This window comes from Homo sapiens, chromosome 4 (assembly GCF_000001405.40).
Source record: "Homo sapiens chromosome 4, GRCh38.p14 Primary Assembly".
NCBI lineage: Eukaryota > Metazoa > Chordata > Mammalia > Primates > Hominidae > Homo > Homo sapiens.
The window spans coordinates 159660713-159688509 of record NC_000004.12 but is presented as its reverse complement, the minus strand read 5'-3'; the positions used below and the strand labels follow the sequence as shown (position 1 = coordinate 159688509).

General features: G+C 37.4%; 2 long non-coding RNA genes across 3 annotated transcripts in view; one reads left to right on the top strand and one right to left on the bottom strand.

The window, feature by feature from the left end:
• Positions 1-22007, top strand: part of LINC02233 (long intergenic non-protein coding RNA 2233) — a 111282-nt gene extending 89275 nt beyond the window's left edge. The window contains exon 3 of the long non-coding RNA NR_146278.1: positions 21852-22007. This is a non-coding gene — a long non-coding RNA (long intergenic non-protein coding RNA 2233). The remainder of the gene's footprint in view (positions 1-21851) is intronic.
• The window catches only part of LOC107986324 (uncharacterized), a 487144-nt gene that overhangs the window by 338957 nt on the left and 120390 nt on the right, over positions 1-27797 (bottom strand). The gene's annotated exons all lie outside the window — the stretch shown is intronic.

Here is a 27797-nt window from a genome sequence, read left to right as displayed (position 1 = left end):
GCCCTCATAATCAGAAGCCACATCAGGAATTAGCTTGCAGATCCCCAATATTTGAAAGACAGGGTCCTTATTAGCCACCCTGGCTTCCTGGAAGTTGCTCCAGGAACATAGGCATAGGTAAGCAACAGGCGGGTGGGAGATGGGTAAAGGTAGCTACTGATGAGCTAAGAGATAAAGTTTCCTAAAGTTAACCACAATTTACTGTCCAACTCTTCTACTGGATGTTGCAAGCCTTCAAAAAACTCTAGTTCCAAAATAGTTACATCACACAGATTCTCTCAGTGTAATTGCTGTCTGAGTGAGGAAACAGATTTCTTGTACTTCCTATTCTGCCATCTTCCCAGAATCTTCTTTAGGTTTTACTATTATTATCCCCACTTTATAGATGAAAAAATGAAGACTCAGAGAAGGAAATCTGATAAACAATCTAGATATGTGATACCATTGATCATTTCCCCAGTAAAAGATATCAATCTTCCATTTGACACTTACAAAGATATTGATAGGCTGATAAGCCAGTTACATCAATATTTATAAGCAAAAGTCATTTTCATCCCATTTTAGAGTTTTATTCATTACTTAAGACCTGTATGCATTTCTCTTCTCTTTGGCACTAAAGTTCCAAGTTTTCATGTTTTTCACCAAAGACAGAACATGCTTAACTCAAAATCCAGACATATGTTACATTATAGAATTAAAACCCTTTTATCATCAGTTAAAAGGAGCTGTTTAACAGGAACTGGGTTTTTGAAAACGTAAATGGACAGGCCAAGCATGGTGGCTTATGCCTATAATCCCGGCACTTTGGGAGGTCAAGGCGGAAGGAGCACTTGAGGCCAAGAGTTCAAGACCAACCTGGGCAACATAGCAAGACCGTGTCTCTACAAAAAATTAAAAACTTAGCCAGGCATGAGTGGCAGGTGCCTGCGCTCATGGCTTATTGATCTACCAATATCTCTGTTCTTTGTATTCTCAGCTACTCAAGAGGCTGAGGCAGGAAGACAGCTTGAGCTCAGGAGTTCAAAGCTGGGATCATGCCACTGACCTCCAGTCTGGGTGACAGACTGAGACCTTTTCTCTAAAAAAAATAAATAAACGAAAGAAAAAGAAAATGTAAATGGACTTTAATGAAGCATTTGTATAAATATTTTATAAGATATTAAAAGTAAGGGATAGATTATAGCACCTGGGTCTATCATAATCTGGAAAAGCTCTTGGTTAAATAACCTTTCATGCTTGACTTTTTCCAGGTGGGAAATCTAATCAGAAGTTACCAAAGATGTTTAAAATTAAGTTTACCTCAAGGTATCAGGCTGCATCATCTAACACACACACACACACACACACACAAATCTTTAAAATCCCTAACCTTAAACACCACAGTGGAGTATCTCAGCAGGTTGCTCCATGGGACGGACCATGTACTTAACCTTTGGTGCCTCAAGAAGAACAAGATATATGAGATCTAAAAATGTACTTCACCTATGCTCCTTTACCATCAAAACTATGGATGAGTCCGTCAGAAACGTTGAGTTGGCCTGCTGTTCAGTGAAAATGCATTATGAATGAGTTTGTCAATGGCTCAGAATGAACATAAATCTCTAAACCTAATGCAACTAATTCTGTATTTGTCCTATCCTCAATCACTATTTTTAGCAAGGAATTTGACTATAATATTACAGTTGCTGCTCTATTTAATCATCTGTAATTTATTGAAAGTAATGTATTTTTTATTTATTTTCAGAGTTGTCTTTTTCCATCTTACAGTGAATAGGTTTAATCAGGAGACCAAACAAACTTCTTCAGTTTTACTCAGTTTAACTGAAGCCCTTCCATCTGTTCTAGGTTTTAAAAAATACCAAGTATATTCTATTCAAGGTCAGGACATGGAGCAGAATGCTATACCTCAGCCATTCAGTTAGAGAAAGAAACTGCATATCACGTTTCTATTGTCAGAAGTTTTCAATGTGATGAAAACATATTATACACCAGCGAGCTTCCAAAGGTCACCAAATAGAAACAAGCATTCTTCTCCCTCCTTTGCTATTTAATGTGGTATTGCAAGCTCCTAGCATTAAGGCAATGGCAAGGGCATTGTATTCATGTACATTTCCATTCATTCTTTTTTTATCATTTATTCATTCATTCATTCAAAAAATTCCAAACCAGAGGGAAATAATCAGCAAAGTAATTCAATAGGGAAAAGCAATACTACCATTTGAAATAGTTTTAAACAGTCACCACTGTTATGGATAACTGTCAAAAGTAAGTGTCAGAAGTTTAACAAGAGCTTCAACTCCATAAAAGATCAGCCTAACTTCATCATTACGTTTTTCCCTTTTCTGTACTCTCAGGTCCCAGCTTAATGAAAGATAACAAATAACAGGACATTTCATAAGAGAGCCAGTTCTCATTTTCACTTTACATATGAAAGCTTACCCAAGAATGTTGGATAAGCATTTGAGGCGGGAGGTAAAAAGAATAGCCCCTGTCACACTTTTGAAGTGTTCCAAATGCTAAACTATCCTCAAACATTCTTTGATCTGCCTTGGCTCAGAAGTTCCTTGTTTTCTCTTTCTACATACTCAGTTACATTTTTTCCACACTGCTCTGTGAACTGTTCATCCAGCTCTTCTCAATACCTGCTGGAAATAAAAGGAAGCAATTGACTTTTCCATGAGTCAAACTGCCATCTGTTAAGGGTACTGCCTCCCCCTTGCCAAAACTGTTTAGAAAGTCAGTTACCTGCTTCCTGGTTTCTTCCCCAGACTCGACTGGAAGCATTAACTAAACTGTGAGGCTTAATAACTCCAATTTTATAGGCTGCCAGGAGACAACAGAAAGAGAACAAGAAAATGAACAACTGCATTCCCACACAGCAGGGAAGTGGACAGAGTCCAAGTCTGAAAAACTTCCCCCAGTCGGCTAGGCCATTCAGATCCAGCAAGAATAGTTTATAATCATCATAAGAACAATTGCCATTGTCATGTCCCCAACCATGCATGACAGCACTACCCTTTTGTTATAAACTCTCTGTTGGCAGCACTGTAACTGGGAAATCATCCCCTCTAAATTTCTTCCTTCATTGAAGACAGCCTTTGCTAACAGAGGGGCATCTGCCACAGCCAGCTCTGCCTGTAAAGGCAACAGGATCCCTTTGAGGCAGGAAATATCATCATCAGACATACAAGTGCCTTCAGAAGGGCCTTTGGCTTCTTTTTCTACGCTATAAAATCTTCTAATAACCCTATTCTGCATTTTTTCTTTCTTTCTTTTTTATTTTCTGAAACAGTAAAGGGGTGGGGCGGAAAGCAGCATTGTAATTGAGACTTCCAAAGGGCATAAATATTTCATTGAATAAGACAAGTCACAATGTATTTGCCTCGTTTCATTCATTATAGCTATGGATGTCAAGGCATCTCATTGTTTTTAACATTCAAAACAAAGAATTCAACCTGTAAAATGTCTAAAGCCTGGTAATGACCTCCAAATGGATAAAAATAAATTAAATGTGCTTGTAGCAGCAGTTCTATGAGTATCATATACATTTTGATTTTTCAACAAAACTCATTAATATGGCCTGAGAGAAACCATTCTGAATTAGTAACATATTTAATATTGGCAGGCTGTATCTAAAGAAATGCCTGCTCTGTTATTTGCAAGTAATAACGTGACTAGAACTAAACTAATAGAAGATTGCCTAATGAAATTCCTGGTTTTATTGAAGAGATATGATTTCCCACAAGCACATCAGTTGTCTAAAATGTAAATATTGACTACTCAGGTGCTTAAGGGAGCTTACAAAATTTTTTGATACTACCTATTCAACAAATACACAGTTAGAGATATTATCAAGTTAAACTCCAGGATGGCATCTATCCAATCATTAAAAAAAAAAAAAAAAATCTGACAAAGTCATTGTCATCAAATCCTTTTCAACCCATACTGATTGTAAGGAATGTGTTAAGAACTGGAGATTCAAATTTATATGATGTAAGCTTTGCCATAAAAGAGTCTATAATCTAACTGGGGACATAAGACCTACACAAAAACACACCATCCATAGTACTGGGAAATAGATGAGTGATATAAATAATAAGGTCAATATAATTTGGGAAAGAGCTCAGTAAAAGAAAATGAGCGGAACAAGCATTTTAGGTAAGTAAAGGAGGGTGGAAATGAGGGCATACATGGCATGTTCAGAGCTTATTGGATTGCCAGACTGGCTGAAATGCAAGTTTCAAGAGTATTAACTGGATGATAGCTTAAAGACATGTTGTGGCATGCTTTACCACAAAGAAAGATATTTAAACATCATCATAAGTGATGAAAAATTTCAAAGAACACTAGGTAAGGGGGTAAATGTTCAAAGCAGTGTTTTCTAAAAATGATGAAGTAAAAATTAACCAGTTAAAATCAGGAGCATTTTGTGACATACACATATATGCTACATTCATATTTGTATGTGTATAGATATCTAAACTTATGAGAATTTGTGCATTTTTAGATCAAAATAGCTAAAGTCTCAAAATTTAGTTTGAAAAGTAGAAATTAAGAGCAAATATCTGAACAATTTTGCATAGTAACCTATATGTTTTAATTATTCACTTTGTTCATGTTTATGTATTAATTTTTTATTTTAATTCAGATATATTTTAATTGATATACTTTATTTCTTAGAGAAGCTTTAGGTTTACAGAAAAAAAATGAACAGAAAACATATTCCTTCTGCCTTCTCCAGCCCACAATTTCCCACACTGTTAACATCTTGCATTGGTGTGATGCATTTATTACAATTAATGGACCAATATTAATATATTATTATTAACTGAAATCCATGATTTTAGTGTTCATTCTTTGTGTTGTACAGTTTGACTTTTTCCAAATGTATAATGTCATTTATCCACCATTAGAGCATCATGCAGAATAGTTTCACTGCCCTAAAAATGCCCTGTGCTCCACCTATTCATCCCTCCCTATCGCCCCCACCCCAGCCTGAACCTCTGGCACTGCTGATCTTTTTACAGTCTCTATACTTTTGCCTTTTCCCAAATGTCATGTATTTGGAATCATCCAGTATGTAGCCTTTCCAGGCTGCCTTCTTTTACTTAATATGCACTTAAGATTCCTCCAAAGTTTTCCATGACTTAATAGTTTATTTATCTTTATCACTGAATAATATTCCATCGTATGGATGTTCCATAGTTTATTCATCTATTAGTGGATGTCTTAGCTGCTCCTAATGTTTGCAATTATGAATCAAAGCTTCTATAAACATTTGTGTGTAGTTGTTTATGTAGACATGCATTTTCAACTCATTTGGGTAAATACCTAGGAGCATGACTCATGGACTACTGTTTAGCCTTGAAATAAATTGTCAAACTGTGTTCCAAAATGGTTGTACCATTTTTCATCTTCACCAGCAATAAATGAGGGTTCCTTTTGCTCCACATCTTCATCAGCTCGTGGCGGGTGTTGTCAATGTCTTGCGTGTTAGCCATGACTGTAATAAGTGTGTAGTGATGCCTCATTGTTGCTTTAACATTCTGTTCCTAAGGATATAATTTTGAGAATTTCTTCATGTGTATATTTGCCATCTGTATACCTTCATCAGTGCATCGTCTGTTCAGATCCTTTGCTCCTTTTTTAATTGGGTTGTTTTCTTTTGCTGAGTTTTAAGAGTTATTGGTTTTCTTTTAAAAAGTTATTTATTTTGAACACAAGTCATTTATCTGATAGGTGTTTTGCAAATATTTTCCCTCAGTATAAGCTTGTCTTTTCATTCTCGTAAGAGTGTCTTTTGCAGAGAATTTTTTAATTTTAATAAAGTCTAGCTTATCGATATTTTCTTTGATAGATAGTGCTTATGATGTTTCACCTAAAAACTCAGTGTCAAACTAATGGCTATTAATATTTTCTTCCATGTTATCTTCTAGGAGTTTTATAGTTTTAAAACTCACATTTAAGTGTATGATCCATTTTGAGTTAGTTTTGTGAAAGTTATGGTCAGTGTCTACACTTATTTTCTTAAACATGTGGATGTCCAGTTGTTACAATATCATTTGTTGAAAACACTACCCTTTCTCCATTGAATCACATTTATACCATTATCAAAGATCTGTTGACTGTATTTGTGTGGGTCTGTTTCTGGACTTTATTTTGTTCCATTTACTTATTTGTCTATTCTTTTGCAAATACCACAGTCTTGATTATTATAGCTTTAAAGTAAATCTTATATTATTTGTAGTAAGTTATGCAGTGTTGGCTCTCCAACTTTCTGTTCTTCAATATCGTGTTGGTTATTCTTGGTCTTTTGCCTGCCCATGTAAACTTTAGAATTGGTTTTTTGATATTCATAAAGTAACTTATTGACATTTTGATTGCGATTGCATTGAATCTATAGACTAAGTTGGGAAGAACTGACATCTTAACAATATTGAATTTTCTATTCATGAACAAAGAATATCTCCAAATTTATTGAGTTTTATTAATCAAAGTTTGATAGTTGTCCCCATATAGAACTTGTATACATTTTGTTAGAGTTAAACCTAAGTATTTCTCTTTTTGTGTGTTAATTTTAAATTGCAATTGCCTATTGCCTGTGCATAGGAAAGCAACTGACTTTCTATATTAACCTTGTATCCACTGACCTTGCTGTAATTACTTATTAGTTCTAGAAGTTGTTTTTTTAATCAATTCTCTGATTTTTTTTACATAGATCATGTCATTTGTGAAGTTTTATTTCTTCCAATCTGTATACATTTTATTCTATTGTCTTATTGCATTAATTAGGACTTCCATACAACGAAGCATTTAAGTTGAGAGGAGACATTTTGTCCTGCTTTCAAACTTAGGGGTAATGCATCTAGTTTCTTATCATTGGGTGTAATGTGAGCTATAGGTTTAAACATTTCTTGCAAGGCAGGTCTACTATCAATAAATCCCTTCAATGTTTGTCTGAGAAGGTCTTTATTTATCTGGCATTTTTGAAAAATAATTTCACTGAATATGGAATTCTAGTTTGGTGGCTTTTTTTCTTCCAATACCTTAAATATACCACTGTATTCTCTTTCTACCTCTGTGGTTTCTGAGAAGTTTCATGTAATTCTTACTCTTCCTCCTCTGTAGTTAAGATTTTTTTTATCCCTGTGGCTTCTTTCAAGATTTTTCACTTTGTCTTTGCTTTTCTGCAGCTTAAATATGATGTGCATAAGTATTGATTTTTAGGTATTTGACCTACTTGGTGTTCTTTAGCCATCCTGGATCTTTAGTTTGGCACCTGGCAGTAATTCTGGAAAATTGTCAGCCATTATTAATTCAAATATTTCTTCTGTTTCTTACTGTTTCCTCCTTCTGGCATTTTCTTTATGCATATTTATACCTTTAGTTGTCACACAGTTCTTGGAATATTCTGTTTCATTCTTTTTCCTCTTGACATTTCAGTTTTGGAAGTTTCTATTGACATATTTTCAAGGTCCCTTATTCTTTTCTTGACAACGTCCTGTCTACTAATGAACCAATTGGAAGCATCCTTTACTTCCATTACTGTGTTATTTATTTTAGCATTAAAAAAAATCTTACCTAGAGTTTTCATCTCTCTGGTGACATATCTCATTTGCTCTTTCCTGTTGGTCACCTGTTCCATTAGAGCTCCCAGCATGTCTTAGTCAGCTCAGGCTGCCATAACCAAACACCATGGACTTGGTGCCTTAAACAGACATTTATTTCTTGCAGTTTTGAAGTCTGGGAAGCAGACAATCAATGTACAGACTCAGTTCCTAGAGAGATCCCTTTTGCTAGTTGACAGATGGCCACCTTTGCACTGTATTGTCACATGGCAAAGAGAAAACAAGCTCCATTCTCTTCCTTTTCTTGTAAGGACACTAATCCCATCATAGAGATCTCACCCCCATGACTTCAACTAAACCTAATTACCTTCCAAAGGCCCCACCTCCAAATACCATCATATGAGGTATTGGGGCTTCAAAATGTAAATGTTGGAGTGACACAAGCATTCAGTCTATAATAGATTGATTAATCATAGTAATTTTAAGTCCTGGTCTAATAATTCCAATATCCCTGCCATATCTGAATCTGGTTCTAATGCTTGCTCTGCCTCTTTATCCTGTGTTTTTGCTTGTTAGCATGCCTTATAATTTTTTATTGATAACTGGAAATGATGTATCAGATAAAAGAAACTGGGGCTAATAAGCCTTTAGTACAAGGTTTTGTTTATCTGGCTAGGAGTAAGTCTATGTTTACTGCTTTCTGTAGCTGTGGGGTAAGAGGCTAAAGTTTCCACTCTTCTTTTGTTTGTTTGTTTGTTTTGGTTTTGCTTTTGCATTTATGTTTGCCTCCCTTGTTGTCTTCTGGTTTTGCTAATATTTCTTAAGTATGTCCCATGGCTTTCAGTTCTTTTAGCTGTAATCTGTTATTTTACAGAAGCCGTAGTGGTAAGGTCTAGGGGGAAGGGACGCACTCTATACCATATGATTAGGTCTCAGTCTTTTAGCGAGACTGAGTTGGATATTCCTGTTCCGCAATGTTGAAGTCTAGAGGGAGCTGGAGTTGGGTATTTCTCACTTTTTTTCTCTCAGCATATTATACCTCTAATGGAGTTGGGTATTTCTCTTCACCCAGGTCAATTAGGCTTTGGTAGAACACAAGTGGATAGGCTCTGATAAAACAGATTTTCATGAGTACAGGCCTTGTTAAGGAGAACATAGATCTCTGGGTGTTTTTCAAAATGCTTACATTTTTCCTCCTCCTGCTGGAAGCACAGAGGAGTCTTCTCTGATCTTCTCATTGAGAATCTGATAGGGCTCCTGAAGGTAAAACACAATGTGTGAGGGCATCCCTAAGGACCTCTTATGAGATTTTAATTTCTAAGCCACACTGTGACTGGAACAATTTGTCAACTACACTTTAATGTAATCTTACTGATACTGACTTTAGCTGCTGGCTTCTGCTCTGGGCATCTTCTCTTAGGGGAGGTCTCTGTATTACCCTATCTATCTCTCCAGTTTCAGAGCAGCAGTCTACCTTGTGGCCTTAATTATCTGAAGATTACATGAAAAGTTGTTGATTTGGAGTTTGTTCAGCTTTTTTCTTGTTGTAAAGACAGGAATAATGACTTTCAAGAGTTTTACATGTCAAGCTGGAAACCAGAAGTCTATTTTTCTAAAACTAGTCAAACCATGAAATTGGTCCAAGATTTGCCAATAAACTATACAGAAATTATTAGAAAACTGAAGTCTTTCAAGTGAGCACTGTAGTAAATTTTGAACATGAAGATGAAAATACTTTTGCAAAAAGTATCCAATGTTAGCCTGCCGTTGTATGCATAGAAAAAAAAAATTACCTACCTGTGCTCTTCACACTCTACTGCCTTTCACTAATTGAAAGACAGCCACAGATATGAGAAAAGCTAGAAATATTCATCAGTCACAACATTACTTATTCTCTTCCTACATATAAGAGAATAGCAATATGAACAAAAGTACCAAAAGATGTTCCCACATGAGATAGGCACTGTTCCAAGGTAGACTGTATTCCAATATTCCTCTTGTAGCTTCTTTGGTTATTCTCTTCACCTCCCAAAATATAGCTAGCCACACATATCATTCAAGAAGATGAGATTCATGGCCATTTTATTTATATCTGAAGTTTCTTATAGTAAGAAAGCAATTTGAATAGAAGGATAAGACTAAACTGCAGAAAAATGTTTAGAAATAAAATGCAGTAGGTAGCCACTGTGAGGGCCATGTGATGTCTAACCCAGATGAGCTGGCAGGTTGATGCCAGAGCAATGCACTACGCCTTTGCACAAATCATTTAATCCTTAAAACAAAGTAGCTTTAAGGCAGTATTGTGAAACTCTTTTTATTGATTTAGAGAAGTTAAAGAAACTTTAGATAATACAACTAGTAAATGATGGAACCCAATTTCAAAGTTAAAGCTATCAGGTTTTAAAATTTTTTATCTATACCAGGTTTACTGATTTTGAATATGAGAGCATGTGATGGCAAGACTCTACTCCAACAGTTTGCTTAAAGTCATAAGGAAGGTGTTCAACAGAATCAGACCAAGAGTAGAAAAAGACAGTAAGAATTTCATACAAATTTTCACTGCAAACACTTGTCAAAAATACCTAATGGCTTTTTAACATCCATCAAGCAACTCTCATAAGATCTAAGTTAAACTCTTTTACTGGACTGTCATTTATAAGTATAATCAATTTATTTTTTAAATTAAATCAGAAAAAGTAAATCAATAACTATATAAATGTTTTCACTTAGAAAACCTAAAAAACAAACAAACTAACTAAAAAAGGATTAATTTGCTCTCCAGTGCTCTGTTCAGTTATTCTGAAAAAGATTTACCATGTTGGAGTTCATTTGAACAATTGTCTGAAAAGATTTCATGGTGCAGAAAATAATTTCCTCCAAAGAATTTGTGTCAGTAATTTCTTCTGAAATTGGATAAGCCAGCGTGACATGCAAGGCTCAAATTGAGACCAACTTGTTCAAACTCAGTTTTCCCAAAACAAAATATGATATAATATCAATCTCTTTCCAATCTGTATTATATATTTGAGTGTAAAATCCCCAATTGCATCAAATTCATTTTGTATTCAAAGGCTTCTTATTTGTTTAGCTGAATTGTGATAAACTAGCTCTTGCTACATTAGTATGAAGTTACTCAACCTTCAACTTCTACAGCCAGAGCAGAGCATTTCCTGGTACGTATCATTTGCCTGATTCCCATAAGAGTTACCCACAGCCTTTTATTATCAGATTAAATGTCACAGGAAACATATCCTCTCAGCTTAAACAGCCAGGAGCTATTATTATTCTTTTCCCAGCAAGAGAAATTTGACCTCATATTCACAAGTTTCATATCCCACAGTGAAGCAGGTTTATCATTTAATTTACAATTAGATGACTTTAATGCTTTTACTTGATGGAGGATGCAACAAAGTCTTTATCAGTCGCCTTAATGTAAAGCCCAAGAAAAAGATCTTAGAATGATAGGGAAGAAAAAGCAACTTTCCTCCTTGTTTGGTCTGGAACCTGTGATTTGGCACTGCTTGGGGATAGGGAAAAAAGAAAGTGGTAGCTGTTATTATCTATGTCTGTTACTATATTCACAACAGCTGCCCTGGGCTACATAATCATGTATGTTATGCAGACGGTCTCTGACTTACAATGGTTCGACTTATAATTCGTAGACTTTTCTATGGGCTTACTGGGACATAACCACATCGTAACTCAAGGAGCATGTGGACTTATGACAGTATGATTTACAATTTTTCAACTTTTATGATGGGTTTATTGGGATACTAAATGCATTTTTGTCTTAATGATATTTTTAACTTTTGATGGATTTGTCAGGATGTAACCCCATTGTAAGTCGAGAAGCATCTCCCTGGTGAGTGCTCTCGAAACCCACCAAAGTAGCTATTATAATACTTAGCTTATAGAAAAATAAACTGAGGCTCAGAGAGATTAAATAAGTTGTTCAAGGTCATACACTAAGTAGCAGGGCAAGGATTCCAATCCTTGTCTGACTCCAGCATATTTTACCCTTCACCCTGTATCCTTCCCAGCTCCCTAAGACGAGAACTATTAAGATCGTGTTTCCGGCCGGGTGCGGTGGCTCACGCCTGTAATCCCAGCACTTTGGGAGGCCGAGATGGGCGGATCACGAGGTCAGGAGATCGAGACCATCCTGGATAACATGGTGAAACCCCGTCTCTACTAAAAATACAAAAAAATTAGCCGGGCGTGGTGGCGGGCGCCTGTGGTCCCAGCTACTTGGGAGGCTGAGGCAGGAGAATGGCGTGAACCCAGGAGGCGGAGCTTGCAGTGAGCTGAGATCGCGCCACTGCACTCCAGCCTGGGCGACAGAGCGAGACTGCGTCTCAAAAACAACAACAACAACAAAAAAAAACCGTGTTTCCTGGTAGCTGCACAAAGGTAAAAATAGCCTTAAAATAATCAAAAGCAAAAATATAACTACTATAATATTGTGAGTTTCAGAACCTAAAGCATGCAACTTTACACCAAATTATGTTGTACAATTCTTCAGTGATAAAGCCAACAACTTCTCATAAACAGATTAGGCTCTCAGATACTTTAAGTCTAAAAAATATAGCTGTATAAGAAATCCAGAATTTTGTTAATTAACTGGGCTTGTTAAAAGTTAATAAAAGTTCATTAGGGACTTTGAAATTATAATAGACTCTAAACCTTATGAAAGCTGAGGCAAGATTTGTATTATTTACCATTAAATCCCATTATCAAACACTCTAATAATAGTTACTTGATATTTGTTATATCAAAATTAGATATTGTCCTTATGAAAAAATTATAACTTTTAGAGATATGACTTTATAATGTTGTAAGCTACATTATTTTGGAAGAAATTACTACTGACTAAAAAGATTAGTTCAAGTATTTTCAGGAGACTTCATCACTAGGAATAATTTAATTGCAAGGACCCATTACACAAATAGCATGAAAAACAATAGATCTCTGATACCAATAATCAATAACTTATCTAGATGCCACAGTAAATATTGAATGCAGTACAGAAAGGACAAATGCTACAGCCAGATATATACCATACAGTATCTTTGCTATTCTAAGGCACCAGCAATAAGAATGAACACCACTCATTTAATAATGAAAGGCTTATTTAAAAAATAAAAAAGAATCTTTAATTAATTGTAGCTAAATTTCATGACCCAATAATGAAATATTCATAAAACAAATGTAACTTTATTCACAAATATCAGAGTTTAATACTAATATGTAATATACCTTTAAAAATGCTTCTGAACGCTTTTTTTTTTTTGGCCATTGCAACTTTAGCAAAGAATAAGGATGTCATGCAATGTTTTATAACACATAATTGGAATCTCAATCTCCTTTGTGTCATTAGGACAGCCATTAGGACATTAGTGTCATTAGGAAAACCATTTAAATTGTGAAGCTTACAAAATATATCAGGACTATCGTATCCAGTATCGGAAAGCAAGATAATTCAGATTAACCTCCTAGTCTCCATAAATGACAAGTTAAATATCCAGAGAAAATTTGAAAAAAAAAAAAAGCATTAAAGAACTAAAAATAGAATGAGGAATAACTGAACCAAGATAAATGAGAATACAGAAATCCAGAGATATGAACCCCATATTCATAAAGAATTTTGTTCTAGGAGTATTTGTCAATACTGAAGAGTTGACAAAGATACTGAGGACTAGTTTTTAATCTAGGACCCAGTAAGAGTAGACAACTCTAGTGAGGACAGAACTTACCCCCAAACACCTTCTTTTACCTAGAATTACATCACCTTAAAATGAAGAGCATTTTAAATAATAAATCGGCAATGAGATAGCAAATTCATGAATTATCCTATATCTACTGTTTCATCTACACGATTACTATCAAGTTAGATATTTCAAAATAAAAAGTAATCTCTATAGTTCTTTTTGGATTATGTGCTAGCCACAGTTAATAATTCTCCTTCTTAGTACTAGAAAGTCAGTTCTCATATCTATCAAGTTATATGTTCAGTACTAGATATATTGTATAAGCTTAATGAATACTTTCTGTTTATCTCATGTTATCAAAAATAAAAAAAGATATAGCCAATTACATTAGATTTTCTTCAGATGCATATTTTAATAAATTAGGAATCTACTTTTACTCACAACACCTCTGACACTGAATGTGTGGTGTCTCTTTCAACACCACATCTCCAACTCTCCAACAGCTGAATGTCCCACAATTCAATTCAGTTCTGACACTATCTACCTGGAGTTAGCATAACACTCCACAAGTTAAGGGCTCAGTCCCACATACTGCCTTCACTTCGGCTGGCTGTTATAAGTCCTAGTGAAGCAGGATATTTCCCTGACCCTTTCATGGGTGGGAACTGAGGTGCAGGAGCACCGGAACTAGCCAGCCACATCAGCACTGGCAGGGGCGAATTCCACTCCCTCAGACCTTCTGCACTTCACCCCTTGCAGGAGGGGAGCATGCAGGTGAGCAGGTGCAGAAGCCGGAGCAAGCGGTTTTGGCTGCCAACAAAGGCAAAACTCCATGCCGGCCCTGTGGCAACGTCTAGCGGGGAGTACCTGTGACCCTGAAGCCCCAGTAGGAGTGTTACAGTCAGTGCTCTTTTAACTTTGCCACCATGCCATTGCAGAAGGCTTAAATGTTAACAGCTCAGTGGAAGGTCAGTGGAGGGTCAGGGACAGCCTTTTGCACCCACACCTTAGTTCTTGTTCAGCATCCAGGAGGAATGAGGTTGCATGAATGAATTGAGGTGATAAATGTGGGGGATTTTATTGCTGATGAAAGTGCCTGTCAGTGGGAATGAGAGCTGAAAAGGGGACAGTGCAGGAAGGTAATCTTCCATGAATGGCTGGACTCCTTTTCGAAGCTATGCTGTCAAGTTGTCCTGCTTCTCTCCGACATCCAACCATAGTCTCTGACATCCAGCCGCTTCTCCTCTCCCTGCTGGCAGGTCCTGGGGGTTTATGGGCATAGGATGGGGGTGGAGCAGGCCATGGGTGGTTTTGGAAAAGGCAACATTCCAGCAGGAAAATGGAGATGTAAAGTTCTCACTTTGGGCTGCAGTATTAGGCTTTTTGGCTTGAGGGTGGGACCCTCATCAGAGACCCCACCCTCTTCTGCCCAGAATTTCTCTGCTTCCTGTCCCTAACATTCCCCCCTCTGTAAAGGCACATCTAACTGCCATTAGAATACAGACAATGACTGGTTTTAACCACCTCCTGCTAACAGGGGGAGTTGTTTTGGGGAGAATGGCAGTCAGATTCCTCCCAGAGGTCTACCTAAGGTTACCCTGCAAAAGGAAGCCATCATCTGAGAGTCCGGTTCCCTGGCTGTTTGGAGTTTGATGGCCTCTAGGCGAGAAAAAACAAGTTTTACAAAGCTAAGTGTGCATGGATCAAATATGTGTATCATACAAAGAGGAGTTTAAAAGCAGACAATCTAGTGCTGAAGATTACAGAAAGAAGAAGTGAAATACATTAATCATTGTGAAAACAACATTCTACCCAATGGTATAGAACAGAATGAAGGTAAGAACAGCAAGCATAGGCAAGACTACAAGGAGGACATCCATGGAAGGTTAATTATTAACACTTATCTTTTGTGATTTTTAGCTTGAGGTCTCCAATCTCTTCACATTGGTACTTTGGGTGCTTTCCTGGGTTTATGGAGGTAATTCCATCAGCTTTCCAGTGAGTTATTGTGAAAGACTAAGGTGGCCACTTTCAGGAGATTCTCTAAAGTACTATCTGTTCCCAGGGCCTGTTTCTGCAGCTTCCTCCTGATCTCAGGGGCTGCCTGAGTAATAAATTTATCCTTTAGAATTGGTTGTCCTTTGACTGAATCAGGAGATAGAAAGGTGTCTTTCACCAAGGCCTCTCTTAGCCTTTCCAGGAAGGCAGTGGGATTCTCATCAAATCCCTGGTCTATCATGGATAGCTTGGTATAATTGAGAGGCTTAGTTCTAGTCCCACGTAAGTCCTCTATTATGCCCACATGAAAGTGTCTCCTCTTCCACCAGGTTGTTACCCACTTAATACTACCAGTTTACTATGAAGAATACAACTCAGGAATAACCAAATGGAAGAAATGCATAGGGCAAGGTATGGGGAGGTGGCAGGGTACAAGAAGCTTCCAAGTTTTCTCAGGCATACCACCTTCCCATCACCTTCCTGTGTTCACCAACCCAAAAGCTCTCCAAACCACATTATTTAGGCGTTTTTATGGTGGCTCCATTACATAGGCATGATTGATTAAATCATTGACCACTGATAATCAGACTCACTCTCCAGCCTCCCTCCCCTGGAGATCAGAGGATGGGGTTGCAACTTCTAACTCTCTAAACATGAGTTACTCTTTCTGGCAGCCAGCACCCATCCTAAGGCAATCTAGTGGCCCCCATCCAGCAGTCATCTAATTAGCATATAAAAGAGACTCTTACCACTCTGGACATTCAAAGAGTTTTAAGAGTTGTATGCCAGAAACCAAAGACAAAAAGCAAATACAAATTTATCAAGGGACATATTCATGAATTTCAAAAATATAATATTCTACTATCTCTTTGCCAAAAACACCTTGTATAGTACAACTGAAATCTGCAAACATACTTCTTCACCTTGTACTCTTGATTGCATTATGTAATCTATTATAACTTTTCCATGGTCTATGTGATACTTACTAAAATTTTTTTTCCAATGGAAGTACACAATCTCCAGAATTTCATACCAAACATAAAACTATAGAAATTTTACATAAAATTTTATAATTTCTATAAAAAACTATAGAAATTATTTTAATGACTTCAAACATCAAGCTAAGATTTTTAGGTTGAATATGTTAAAACCTTTTCATGACTTTTTTTTCTAAAATCAACTGAAAGCAAGGAGAGTGTTGAAAGCAGTAGGCTCAGAAAACAATACCCCAAAGTATGGTGCTTTGGCATGCTGCGCACTTTGAATTAAAGAAAATTGGAAGGCCTTAGAAGCTTCCTCCAAATAAAGATTTCTTTGACTTTACCTAGTTTCTCCTTCAAGATGAAGGGAGGGGCTATCTCTAAGGTACCGTTATGTGACCAAGGGTAGTTCTTATTAAAAAAAAAATACAATTTTCTCCAATCTCCTATCTGAAATCTCATTAACCAGGGAAGACTGACAACCAAAGAAGAAACTAAAAGTTGTCACCACACTTGCCCAGAGAGACATTTCATCTATTCTTCCAAGGTCTGTTACCTAAGGGACTTTATAAGACAACTTTTTTTCCTAATGTAGTTCTGCCCGTCAATGTTCCCTTAACTTGTTGCCAGCCTCCCCAGAGCTCAGGAGAACTTTGTCTAGATTATTATCTGTTCTTTAGGCCCATTCTTTTCCCCTATAAATTATTGACTTTTCCTCCAAAATTGCCTAAATCTCCCACTCTCCGTTCACCTATGAAGAGGGTATTTAAGCTTCAATCATCTGGCCCTTCCTTGAGTTTCATACGTTGTGCCACTTCTGTGTATTTGCACGGTATAAATTTATGTGCCTTTTCTCCTCTTCATCTATCTTTTGTCAGCTTATTTCAGTAGACTCAATTATTGAACCTTCAGAGGGAAAGTTTAAACTTTCCTACAAGACCAAGAAAATAAAATGGAAATTCTGTCCTCATTAATACTAATAAATACCCTTGATACCAACTTCAAAATAAATAAGAAAGGATTACTAAATGAAGTACAAATAGGATCAAGGTAAAGAGGAAAAAAGTGAAGCCGCTTGCCAGTAGAGATCTCAGGTAGAGACAGGAAGATCAAAACCAACAACCACCTGTTTGGAACATTTATAACAGAGTGTATGGGGCCAGGTACAAGAACTTTCTACTACCTTGTTTGAATATACAAAGTTGCAGAGGAGACAAAGATAACTGAAGAAATATACAGGCATTCTTTGTAATTACCATAGCAATGTAGAGAAGAAATCATGAATAGAAAAGTACAAGGACTGCCCCCATCTTTATCAACTAAAAATGAGACAAGGCTAAACTATAAATGCACACACACCCACACCCACCCACCCACACACACACACATTTTATCCTATAAAACTCTACTGAGAGCCAGGAAGATTTCCTGCTAGCCCAGACCACCTGTTGGCCCCTTCTCCATACTATTTATTTTGCAATATCTGGCCCTGAAACAACTTCAGTCATTAAAAAATTAGTAACAATTAAATAAGAATAATAGCCAGCAATAGAGATAAATAAAATGACTTCAAGAATAATCATTTAAGAATTTTTGACAGGAATAAGATCAAAGAAACTGCAAAATTTATTTATTAAATCAATATTTCTTTTAAAGCTAAAGTAATTAAAACTGTATGATAGTCACTCAAAGAGGAAGAGAGAGAAACAGACTGAATCTAAGTTCAGTTCCATGAACATTTGAAAACAACTTGTGACAGAAATGGCATTGTCAATATCTGAGACAAAGAGAAAAATGCTCAATAAGTTGTATACAAACAATAGGAAAAAATGTAAATAAAATCCTATGTCATCTGTTATACTAAAATTAATATCAGGTGAATTAGAGATTTACATGTAAGCATGGTTACAAAAACTTTCAGAAAAAAAATCAACTATTTCTATGACTGGAGGGTAAGTAAGAAATTTTTCAAGTAAGACACAAAAAGCAAACTTAAAAAAAAAGATTGATACACAGCGCTTCATTAAAATTCCAATTATTACATTCATCAAAAACACCATAATGAGAGTGAATATATAACCCAAGCTATGAAAAGTTGTATCAACACAGTAACTGACAAAACATTAGTAAAGATATAAAGAATGCCTCCAGGTCAATATGAAAATTATAATTAATCCAGTTGAAAATTTGGGGGCAAATATAAGTATTGGCAATGCCAGCTACTTAAATGAAGGGAAAATAAATGTGAAAATAGACCATTGAAAGGTGTTTAACTGCATCAACAATTAGGAAAATGCTAATTTAAATGATAATTAGTCAACATTTTACTCTGACCACAGTAGCAAAACTTTTAAATCTGATAATATCAGTGCTGGCAGGGACATGGAACCCTGGGAACTGTCATGCATGGCTGATGGGAGTGTAAACAGACAAAAACACTTTGGAAAATGATTTCACATTCTCTCAAGCTATTCATATACAGAGTCAAGCAATCTCAAACTCAAGCACATACCCCAGAGCCATGGATTCAAACGTTTTTCCTGACATATTTCCTAAATACTTTTTTGAAACTTTATAACATGTTGCCCATTTTTAAATGGATTGCCATTGTTAATCAGTTTCCAAAGGATGTAATTCCCAGTTTAATGTAAATATAACATTTTAAAATAAAACTGTTAAATCTCTCTTTTGAAATGTGTCTAAAGAGCAGAGAATATGGTCAAATAGAATTCTCCAATGATCAAACCCCCACAGGAAAACCAAATTGAACAACTAGCCATGCAACAAAGTACCTTTATAAGAACCAAAAAATCAGGTGAGCAATCACAGTATCTGGTTTTCACATCATAATAAGGAAAGAGGCATTGAAGACGGTAGGAAGGACAGCTTTGCATTGCCTACACCACCCTTCCCCCAACCCCAGGTGGCTCAGTGTAGAGAGAGAATCTATGTTTTTGGGGAGGGAGAGAAAAGTGAGTGTGGGACTTTGCATTGTAACTCAATGCTACGCTGTCATAGTGGAACACAACACAGGACAGAAGTCGGCTGGTGCCCACAGAGGGAGAATTTATGCCAGCTCTGGGCCCAACGGGAATCTTTTCCCAGCCTGTGGAGCCTGACTCCCAGCCCACTTTATCACTGGCTCACTAAAGTGGCCTGGGTCCTTGAATAAATCTGAGTGGCAATCAGGCAACAAGGACTACAGTCTTTGGGCAATCCTGGTGCTGCCTGGTCTCAGAGGCAGTAGACCAGGGATGCAACCCTCTGTAACATCAGCTGCAGTGGCTGTGTGAGTGCCTCTGTTACCCCTCCCCTGCCCCGCCTTTAGGCAGTGCAGCACAGGGAGAAAATTATTCCAACTTGAAGGAGGAGAGGGAAGAATACAGAAGACTTTGTCTTGAAACTTGGGTACCAGCACAACCACAGTAAAATAAAGCACCAGGCATATTCCCGAAGTCCCCAGTTCCAAGCCTTTGCTTCTGAACATTTCTAGACCCACTCTGGGTCAGAAGGGAATCTGCTGCCCTGGTGGGATGGACCCAGTCCTGGCAATATTCAGTACCCTCTGACTAAAGGCAACCAGGCAGTAGTGACTATGGGCCTTAGTGAGTCCCAGTACTGACTTGGTCTGGAAGCCCATGGGCTTCATGTATGACCCAGTATGGTACCAGCTGTGATGGCCAGAGAAGCACCCACATTACCCCTTCCCTGATTCCAGGCAGCGCAGTACAGAGATGCCTTCTGATTTAAAAAGAAAGGAAAGAGAGTAGGAGATTTTGCCTGGTAACTAGTATCCCAACAAATTCCCCATTATCTTCCCCAAGTTAACCAAGGCTATGTATCTAGGAGTCTACAAATGTCACAATGTTCCTGGGCTTCGGGCTCCTCCCAGTGCTAAAATGGCTTCAGTGACCACAGGCCTAGATAAGGGCACTCAATCCCCTCTGAATTCTTGGAGAGCCCACTCAAGAAGGATGAGTACAAAGAAGCCCAGACAGAGAAGATTGAAATAAGTACCTAAATCTTCAATGCCAGACATCCATGAATGTCCACAAACATCAGAAACATTCAGGAAAACATGACTGCAACAAACAAACTGAGTAAGATATCAGTGATCAATCTTGAGGTGACAGAAATATGTAACCTTTCAAACAGGGAATTTAAAATAGCTGTTTTGAGGAAGCTCAACAAACTTCAAGGTAACACAGAGAAGGAAGTCAGAATTCTGCGAAGAAAATTTAAGAGACTGAAATAATTTAAAACATCAAGCAAAAATTCTGGAGCTGAAAAATCAATATCATCTCACCCACATTAAAGTGGCTATTATCAAAAAAACAGAAAATAACAGATGCTGGCAAGGATACCAAGAAAGCAGAACAGTTGTATACTATTGGTGGGAATGTACAACAACTATGGAAAACAGTATGTAGGTTTCTCAAAAACCTAAAAATAGAATCACCATATGACCCAACAATCCCACTGCTAGGACTATATCCAAAAGAAAACAAGTAGTGTATTGAAGAGATATCTGCATTCCCGTGTTTATTGCAGCACTATTCACAATAGCCAAGATATGGAAGCAACCTAAGAGGCCATTAATGGATGTATGGATAAAGAAAATATGTTATATATACACAACAAAATATTATTCAGCCATAAAAAGAATGAAATCCTGTCATTTGCACCAACATAAAGGGAACCAGAGGTCATTACGTTAAGTGAAATAAACCAAGTGCAGAAAGACAAATAATGCATGTTTGCACTTATATGTGGGAGCTTAAAAAAAAAAAAAATGAACTCATGGTGACAAAGAGTAGAATGATGGTTACCAGAGGCTGGGAAATGCAGTAGAGAGAAGGTTAATGGGTACAAAAATACAATTAGACAGAAGTAAGATATAGTGTTCAGTAGCACAATAGGGCAACTGTAGCTATCAATTATTGTATGTTTCAGAATAATGAAGAGTGGAATTGTAATTTTCTTAGCACAAAGAAATAAGAAATGCTTGAAGTAATGGATATCCCAGTTACCCTGACTTGATTATTACACATTGTAATCCTGTAACAAAATTTCACATGTACCCCATAAATATGCACAACTATTATGTATCCATTATAATTAAAAAATAAAACCTTTTAAAAATAAATGTATCTAAGCAATCTTCTTCAACAGTCAGAAATTTGGTATCTTTTTTCTTCTTGAACTTATATCCCTATTTCATTTCTCTTACATAATTCTGTCCAAATGGAATATATTTTATGCTTGAGAGTCTACCAGTAAAACTGTTATGCCAATTTAGAAAGTGAAAAACTAGTAAAGACAAAGCATTAGTTAAAAAAAGATAAAAATAAAAAAATAAAGGAGACATCCACTTCCAGCAACATGGAGTAGACATACTTTTCCTTATTCCTCCCACTAAGTCCAACTAAGAATTCTGGGTATTACATATCAAATGTAAGTAGAATCTGAAGGCAGAAAAAAGAAGGAAGACTGTCTAGGGACCACAGGGCCCAAGGAATGACATAGTGATGCATTATTTGATTTGTTGGGATTTTTGTTTATTTATTTGTTTGTTCATTTTGCCTCATATATTCCAGGTTTGAAGGTGAAGAAGCTGGCAAATTGAAATGTCAACAGACGCATATAAAACCCTAACAAAAGCCTCTGTAGCCAATAGAACAAGAAAGGAGTAGACTAGCAAGGCAGAAAACTTTTGGAAAATAACTCTTCTGCTATATTCAATCTGGGAAAAAAAAAAAACACAACACTGGCTCCACCCAACGATGATAACAAAGGCCCAGTAAGAAACCTTGACCACCTCTAATATAGAACCTGAAGCTCCTACCTACCAGAATTATTTCAGAGGAGGCCAAGTAGAAAACCATGTCTTTCATCTCTACCATCCAATAACAAGCCTACACCTTGCAGTGTCAGTAGAGACACATGGGGAACTGGAACTCTTAAGCTCCCAATCCCACCAAGCAGTAATGAAGAGCTTTCCCGCACCATATGTCAACAGAGCACACTGTTGTGAGGACCCCGTACCACTTCTTCTATCCAGCGGTAACAAGGGAGATCTTTCCCTGCTGAGGTGTTGTCACATAAATCCAGCTAAAACAGGTTTAAAGAACACACAGAGTCTCATGATACAAAACTGTCCAGATATCAGTTAAAAAATACTTGTCATACCACGAACCAAGATCTCAAACTGAATTTTAAAAAGGAATTCAAAAATGTCATTACCAAGGTGACAGATTTGTTAGAATTACCTGACAAAGATTTAAAGTTGCCATGATAAAAATGCTTCAACAATTACCAAAAAAAGCTTGAAACAAATGAAGCAAAAGAAAACTTCAGCAAAAAAAATCAAATCTCAGCAAAAAACATAATATATTAAAAAATGGAAATTTCAGAACTAAAAAATATCACCTCAATAAAATGCTCAGTAGATGAGATCAACAGAAAGATGGAAGCAAAGGGGGAAAAATATAAGTGAATTGAAAAATAAAACAAAATACATTACACAATCTAAACATAGAGATACAATAAACTAGAAACATGAAATGAACAGAACCTCAGGGACTTTAGGGAATATAACAAAAAACCTGACTCAGTTACCACCAGGGTCTGAGAAGGAGAGAGAAAAGCGGGTAGGACTATAAGTATACTAAAATAAAACTGGCTGGAAACTTTCCAAATTTGACACAAAAACCCCATAAAACTACAGATTCAAGAATCTGAAAACTTCATACAAGATAAGCCCAAAGAAATTAATCCCAAAACACATCAAAATGGAACTTTTGAAAACTAAACAAGGAAAAAAAAACTCTTAAAGGCCCTTAGGGAATGATATGGTTTCGCTCTGTGATCCCACCCAATCTCATCTTGAATTGTAATCCCTATATGTCAAGGGAGGGACCTGGTAGGAGGTGATTGGATTATGGGAGTCGTTTCCCCCATGCTGTTCTCATGATAGTGAGTTCTCATGAGATTTGATGGTTTAAAAGTGTTTGGCAGCTCCCCCTCCCCACCCACCACCTCACTTTCCCTCTCTCTTGCTGCCACGTAAGACATGTCTTACTTCCCCTTCACCTTCCACCATGATTGTAAGTTTCTTGAGGCCTTCCTAGACATGTGGAACTGTGAGTCAATTAACCCTCTTTCCTTTATAAATTACCCAGTCTCAGGAAGTTCTGTATAGCAGTGTGAAAACAGACTAATACAGAAAATTGGTACCGGTAGTGGGGCACTGTTATAAAGTTAACCTGAAAATGTGGAAGCTACTTTGGAACTGGCAAACAGGCAGAGGCTAGAACAGTTTGGAGGGCTCAGAAGAAGACAGGAAGGTGTGGGAAAGTTTGAAACTTCCTAGAGACTTGTTGACTGGTTTTGACCAAAATGCTGATAGTGATATGGACACTGAAGTCCAGGCTGAGGTGGTCTCAGATGGAGATCAGGAACTTACTGGGAACTGGAGTAAAGATCACTCTTGCTATGCTTTAGCAAAGAGACTGGCAGCATTGTGCTCCTGCCCTGGGGATCTGTGGAATGTTGAACTTGAGAGAAATTATTTAGGGTATCTGGTAAAAGAAATTTCTAAGCACCAAAGCATTCAAGATATGATTTGACTTTTTCTGAAGCATACAGTCAAATGCATTCACAAAGAGATGATCTGAAATTGGAACTTATGTTTAAATGAGAAGCAGAGTGTAAAATTTTGGAAAATTTACAGCCTGGCCATGCAGTAGAAAATAAAATCCCATTTTCTGGTAACAAATTCAAGCTGGCTGTAGAAATTTGCATAAATAATGAGGAGTAAAATGTTAATAGCCAAGACAATGGGGAAAATGTCCTAGAGAAAGACAGATTTTCATAGCAGCCCCTCCTATCACAGACCTGAAGGCCTAAAAGGGAAAAATGGTTTTGTGGGCCTGGCTGAGGGCCCTGCTGCACAGTGCAGTCTCAGAAAGTGTCACCCTGTGTCCCAGCTGCTCCAGCTCCAGTTGTGGTTAAAAGGGGCCAAGGTAAACCAGGCACGGTGGCTCATGCCCGTAATCCCAGCACTTTAGGGGGCCAAAGCAGGCAGATCACGAGGTCAGGAGTTCAAGATCAGCCTGGCCAAAAATGGTGAAACCCCATTTCTACTAAAAATACAAAAATTAGCTGGGCATGGGGGCACAGATCTGTAATCCCAGCTACTTGGGAGGCTGAGGCAGGAAAATCACTTGAATCTGAGAGGCGGAGGGTGCAGTGAGCCAAGATTGCGCCACTGCACTCCAGCCTGGGCAACAAAGCAAGACTCCATCTCAAAAAAGGAAAAAAAAGAAAAGGGGGGGCAGGTGCCAAAGTATAGCTTGGGCCATTGTTCCAGAGGGTGCAAGTCTCAAGCCTTGGTGGCTACCATGTCATGTTGGGCTTGCAGATGCACAGAAGCCAAGAGTGAGGATTAGGAACCTCCACCTAGATTTCAGAGGATGTATAGAAATGCCTGGATATCCAAGCAGAAGTCTGCTGCAGGGGTAAAGCCCCAGTGGAGACCCTCTACTAGGGCATTGCAAAAGGGAAATGTGGGGTTGGAGTCCCAGTACAGAGTCCCCACTGGGGTACTGTCTAGTGGAGCAGTGAGAGGAAGGCCACCGTCTTCCAGACCCCAAAATGGTAGATACATTGACATTTTGCACCATGCACCTGGAAAAGCCACAGGTAGTCAATGCCAGTCCACGAAAGCAGCTACAGGCACTGTACCTGCAGAGTCACAGGGATGAGGTTGCCCAAGGCCTTGGTAGCCCAACTCTTGCATCAGTGTGCCCTGGATGTGAGACATGGAGCCAAAGGTGTTTATTTCAGAGCTTTAAGATTTAATGACTGCCCCTCTGGGTTTCAGACTTGCATAGGGCCTGTAGCCCCTTTGTTTTGGCCAATTTTTTTTAATGGGATCATTTACCCAATTCCTGCACCCCCATTCTATATTGGAAGTAAGTAACTTGTTTTTGATTTTACAAATCCTTCTTAGGCGAAAGGAACTTGCCTTGTCTCAGATAAAATTTTGGACATGGACTTTTGAGTTAATGCTGGAAAATGAGTTAAGATTTTGGGAGATGGTTGAGAAGGCATGACTGTGTTTTGAAATGTGAGAAGGACATGATATTTGGGAAGGGCCAGGCGTGGAATGATATGGTTTGGTTCTGTGTCCCCACCCAAATCTCATCTCAAATAGTAATTCCCATATGTCAAGGGAGGGACTTGGTGGGAGGTAATTGGATCATGAGAGCAGTATCTCCCATGCGGTTCTCATGATAATGATTTAGTTCTCACAAGATCTGATAGTTTAAAAGTGTTTGACAGTTCTCCCCACCTCATTCTCCCTCTCTCCTGCTGCCATGTAAGATGAACCTTGCTTCTCTTTCGCTTTCTGCCATGATTGTAAGTTTCCTGAGGTCTTCCAAGCCATGTGAAACTGTGAATCAATTAAACCTCTTTCCTTTATAAATTACCCAGTCTCAGGTAGTTCTTTATAGCGGTGTGAAAACAAACACGTACAAGAAGAAATGACAATTTAATTATATGATAAAAACAATTTGAATGTTGGCGGATTTACATGAGAAACCAGAGAGGCCAGAAGGAAGTAGCACAATATTTTTCAAGTGTCAAAAGAAAATAACTGTCAACTCAGAATCTTATAACCACAAAAATATCCTTTATCTATGAAGGAGAAATCTTTTAAAACATTTTCAGAAGAAAGAAAACTAAAATGACTTATTACTAGCAGACCTATCCTTAAAAAATGGCTAAATGAAGTTCTCTAAGGAAAAAGAAAATAATAAAACAAGGAACTTTGGGATATTAGGAAGGAAAAAGGAACTCTGTAAGCTAAATTATTAATAAATACAATAGACTATTTTCTCCTCTTGAGTATTCTGACTTACGTTTAACAGTTAAGGCAAAAATTATAACACTTCTCATATTCTTCTAAATATATAGAAAAAATATTTAAAATAATTCTGTTTTGAATGTGGAGGGTAAAGGAATGTTAAGGATGATAAAGTTTTTAGACTTTACTCAAACTAGTAAAATATTAACATGAGGAGACTGTGATAAGTTATGTATTTATAATGTAATTTCTAAAGCAATCACTAAAAAAGCTATATAAAAACACTATAGATAAATTGAAATGAACTTTAAAACTGTTCAAGTGACTCATCAGAAGGCATGGAAAATAAAATAAGAGGGAAAAAAACACAGAGTAGGAAACAGAAAAAAATAATAAAATGGTATGTTTAAGCCTGTATTAGTCTATTCTCTTGCTGCCAATAAAGACATACCCAAGACTCGCTAATTTATAAAGAAAAGAGTTTTAAGTGATTCACAGTTCAGCACGGCTGCGGAGGCCTCAGGAAACTTACAATTATGACAGAAGGGGAAGCAAACACATCCTTCTTCACATAGCATCAGGAAGGAGAAGAATGAGTGTCCAGCAAAGGGGAAGCCCTCTATAAAACCATCAGATCAGATCTCGTGAGAACTCACTATTATGAGAAGAAGATGGGGGAACCATCCTCATGAGTCCAATTATTTCCACGTGGTCCCTCCCAGATCACATGAAGATTATGGGAACTACAGTTCAAGATGAGATTTGCTGGGGATATGGTTTGGCTCTGTGTCCCCACCCAAATCTCATCATGTAGCTCCCATAATTCCCACGTGTTGTGGGAGGGGCCTGGGGGGGTTAGTGAATCATGAGGGTGAGTCTTTCCCATGCTGTTTTCATGATAGTGACTAAGTATCATGAGAAGTGATGGTTTTAAAAGTGGAGTTTCCCTGCACAAGCTCTTTTCTCTTGTCTGCCACCATGTGAGACATGCCTTTCATCTTCTACCATGATTGCGAGGCCTCCCCAGACACATGGACCTGTGAGTCCAACAAACGTCTTTCTTTAATAAATTGCCCAGTATCAGGTATGTCTTTATCAGCAGTGTGAAAATGGACTAATACAGGCAGGGACACAGCCAGACCATATCAAAGCCTTAACCTATCATTAATTTTATTAAATGTAAATAGTCTAAATACACACATTAAAATAGATTAGCAGAGTGGGTTTTAAATATAACCTAGCCAAATGCTGTCTCCAAAAACCTCACTTCAAATTAGTTCAACTCTTGTGGAAAGCAGTGTGGCAATTCCTCAAAGAACTTAAAACAGACCTACCATTCAACACAACAATCCCACTACTGGGTATATACCCAAATGAATATAAATCATTCTACCATAAAGAAACATGGACATGAATGTTCATTGAGGTACTATTCCCAATAACAAAGATATGGTATCAACCTAAATGCCCATCAATTGTATACTGGATAAAGAAAATGTGGAACATATACACCATCAAATACTACATAGCCATATGAAAGAATGAGACCATGACCTTTGCAGGAACATAGAAGGAGCTGGAGGCCATTATCCTCAGCAAACTAATGAAGGAACAGAAAAACAAATGCCGCACATTCTCACTCATAAGTGGGAGTTAAATAATGAGAACACGT